Here is a 3,873-nt window from a genome sequence, read left to right on the forward strand (position 1 = left end):
GAATATTGTAAAGAACTCATCAACTGGTAAAAAGACAAAACAATTTAGTAGGAAAATGAACAAGGAAAAGAAAAGTAAAATCAGAGAAGATGAAATAGAAATGGCCAATAAGGCCAGGCACGGTGGCTCATGCCTGTAATCCCAGCATTTTGGGAGGCCGAGATGGGTGGATCACTTGAGGTCAGGAGTTTGAGACCAGCTTGACCAACATGATGAAACCCTGTCTCTACTAAAAATACAAAGTTAGCCAGGCGTGGTGGTGCATGCCTGTAATCCCAGCTACTCAGGAGGCTGAGATAGGAGAATCTCTTGAATCTGTTAGGCAGAGGTTGCAGTGAGCCAAGATCGTGCCATTGTACTCCAGCCTGGGCAACAAGAACAAAACTCCATCTCAAAAAAAAAAAAAAGCCAATAAATATATTAAATAATGCTCACCTTCACTAGGGATCATGAAAATGAAAACACTAAAAACTGAGATGTCATTTTGCTAATTGAAATGCCAAAAATTTTAAATTTGTTTATATTAGTGGTTGGTGAGTAAATGGGAAAGGATAGTATCAATATTGATGATGGGAGTGTAAACCTACATGACAGCATTGGAGGATAGTTTGGCAATACCACAATTAAAGGGAGCCCTCATGGCCAGTCATCCTTCTCTGTGTCTTCACACTGGAGAAACACTTACGGTGGCAGAGGCTACCAGTCATTCCCACATCAGTTCCCCATTGCCTTGTCATAACAATCTCACTACCCAGCTAAAGGCTACACTTCCCAGCCTCCCCTGAAGCTAAGTGTGACCATGTGACCAAGTTTCAGCCAATGAGATGTGAGAAGAGACTTTGCAACTTTTAGGATGTTCCCTTAAAGGGAAGGAGCACACCCTCCCCTTCTCCTTTTCTCCTTGTCCAGTGGCAATGCCCTTAGAAGAGGAGGAGAGAGAGACACACAGGAAGCAAAAGCCATGTGAAGACAGAAGCAGAGATTGGAGAGATGCATCCACAAGCCAAGGAAAGCCAACAGCTACCAGAAGCTGGAATAAGTAAGGCTGTCCCCTAGAACTGTCAGAGAGAGTGTAGCCCTGCCAGCACCTTGATTTTGGACTTCTAGCATCTAGCGCTCATGAGAATAAATTTTGGTTGTTTTAAGCCACCAAGTTTCTTTTCTGGTTATAGCAGCCCAAGACGACTAATACACCATGGTATACTCATTTCATAGAATACCGTGCAGTAATTGAAAAGAGTGAGGTCCACCAATATGTGCTGTCATGAAAAGATCTTGAAGACACTGGTGAATGAAAAAAGCATGTGGCTGAATTATATTATATATCCATTACAATATCACTTACACAGAGGGAAGCCATAACCAAGACTATACTTTCTACAGGAACAAATAAATACATGTACATGCAGAAACACGTCTGATGTGTATCAAGCAAAGAACAGTGCTGACCTGTGGGGTAGGAGAAGGAGCTGAAGAGAGGATCAGGATTATGGAAGATGGTCAGAGGACTTAGTTCTATTGATAATGTTTCCATTTTTAAAAAGATAAATATTTACATATGAATTGTGCAATAAAGTTACTTCAATCTAAGATGGGAGTGGTAAGACCGGCAGTAGGGAAGGAGCCTGATTGGACCACTGGGCACAGGGTCTTGGGCATATTATCTTTCAGAGTCACCAATTGATCTGCCCCACTTACCTCCTGTGGTGGGCTGAATAATAGTCCCTCCTCCAAATATGTCCCTGTCCTAATCCCTGGAACCTATGAGTGTTATATTGCAAAAGGGGCTTTACAGATGTGATTAAGTTAAGTTTCTTGAGATTTTGGGGTTATCCTGGAGTAGCTGGGTGTGCCTGATATAATTACAGATATAATTACTTTTATAAGAGAAGGCAGGGTCAGAGGAGAAGATGTGACTATGGAAGCAGAGATTGGAGTGATGCACTTTAAAGATGGAAGAAAAGGACCAGGTAAAGAATACAGGTGGCCACTAGCAGCTGGAAAAGTCATGGAAACAGATTCAGACTCCGTCTAAAAAATAAAAAACTTCTTAGAAGTTGAGGCACTCTCTTTCTGGAAAAGAAAAATCTCTAAATTTCAAGATTTTCCCTAATGAATCTTGAGATATTGACTATGATGAAAGTGAAGACTTTTTCTGTCTTTCCAAATTTGAATTCTAAGTGTGCTCAGCAATTTCAGCTCCGCTCTGGAAACCACAGCAAGCTGAAGGTGAAATGAAAATCGTCCAGTTCTAGCACATCATAATGCCAGCCGAGAAAATTATAAAGCCTAGCCACGATGACTGGCTATCTTAAAACTTAGACATAAATGCCTGAGAAACTCTCTTCCCAAATGGCAGGAACTCCCACTATTCCCATTACCACCCTTATCACTGGGAAATCAGACTGGAAGAGAAGGCTCACTTGGAGAAATGTGGACATCTCCTCCCAGTCCAACACCAGTGTGCGGCGCAAACAGAGGAGCTGTAGCAGGCCAGGGCCATCCACATGAGGACTCCTGTCTGGACAGCTCCAAGAAATAGGACAGAAGATGTCTCCTGCAGGAGCATGAGGAATATTCTGTCTTTACGAAGCAGTATTTTGATCCTAAAAACAAAGTTTTCCACAGAAGATACAGGATAACAATCCAGAACAAATCTTCTCATCTATTGTTCTAGTAACTTCTTGTGCATAGAACTTCTTGAGTTCTATGGATTTCTTCATCTAATGCCCTGCTAGTAGCTACAAACAGAGACATAATAACCTAACCACTCTGTTCATCTTTGTTTTCCCTTAGAATGTGTGAGAAGAGGATGTAGAGAACTTGGATGTGATGAATCATTTTCAGAATATGCTTTGAAGCATTGAAACAGACAATTTTAAAAGACAAAACACAGGATAATTGCATGCCTGCGCCAAGAGGGAATCCTGAAGAAAGTCAGCGCTTCCAGAGGAATTACTTGCTACCAGGGTGTCCCTTCCTTGACCCCCCTTCTCTCTGTGAGACATTGCACATTCCAAACAAGGAGGGCTCTCTCACGTCCATCTTTTCACGGATGTAGCCTTCTTGGCTGGATGGAGGAAGATCGTCTTGAATGTGGAGCATGTTCTGGGTTGCCTCCTGCTGCTCTGAGCCCACCCTTAACACGTGGAAGCCATAAGGAGGCATCACTGGAGGCAGACCGGACACCTGTTTGCTGATGATCCTCAGCCCCCACCATTAGGTGCTGCTTCCATGTGGAGACCAAGACCTTTCCATCATCCATGGGACCCACCTACTCACTGTGGCACGGACCCAGTTGGGAAAGCCTACAGCAATCCTTGTGTTGTGGAAGGACTCAACTCTGAGATGACAGAAGAGAGGGTCCTAGGTTGTCTGCTCCTTGAAGAAAAACTGATGAGGAGAACAAATTGTCCCTCTGGGACTGGCTCCTCTTGTCACTCAGCCTTGACCAAGTCCTTCGCTCTTTCCTACAGCATTAGATTCCATCACAGGTGAAAGTGCTTCCAGTTCCAGCCCCCTACTCATCTCTCTGGTTCCCCTCCCCACATTTTCCGTCCTGTTCCCTCTAATCTCTGGGCGGGATGAACAGCATTTCTAAACTGTTGTCTAGAAAGAGGAAGCACTGAGTCAGATCACTCCAGAAAAAGACAAATAGCCAAATGGGCATACTTGTCTACACCAGCTCCGTCACAGCCACTTCTGAAAAACAAGGGAGCAGGCATACAAGCACACCTTCAGGGGGATCAGAGATGTGGAGGGAGCATCAGACTTCCCAAAGCGTTTCCCTGTTGTAACAAACCAAGACATTTATGTACATTCTTTTAACGTGCATATGTTTACTGCCTGTGTGTGCACTGCCATCCTATCTGT

The 3,873-nt window shown here is 43.7% G+C and overlaps 1 annotated feature.

Annotated features, from left to right (window-relative positions):
- Nucleotides 2,080-3,279: an enhancer, noted in NCBI's record as "P300/CBP strongly-dependent group 1 enhancer chr18:8521740-8522939 (GRCh37/hg19 assembly coordinates)". NCBI's record gives its function as "activates an origin of replication core promoter dependent on BRD2, BRD4, P300/CBP, MED14 and CDK7 cofactors, with strong dependence on P300/CBP, by STARR-seq in HCT116 cells {active_cell/tissue: HCT116}" and the evidence as "EXISTENCE:reporter gene assay evidence [ECO:0000049][PMID:35650434]".

This window comes from Homo sapiens, chromosome 18 (genome assembly GCF_000001405.40).
Source record: "Homo sapiens chromosome 18, GRCh38.p14 Primary Assembly".
NCBI lineage: Eukaryota > Metazoa > Chordata > Mammalia > Primates > Hominidae > Homo > Homo sapiens.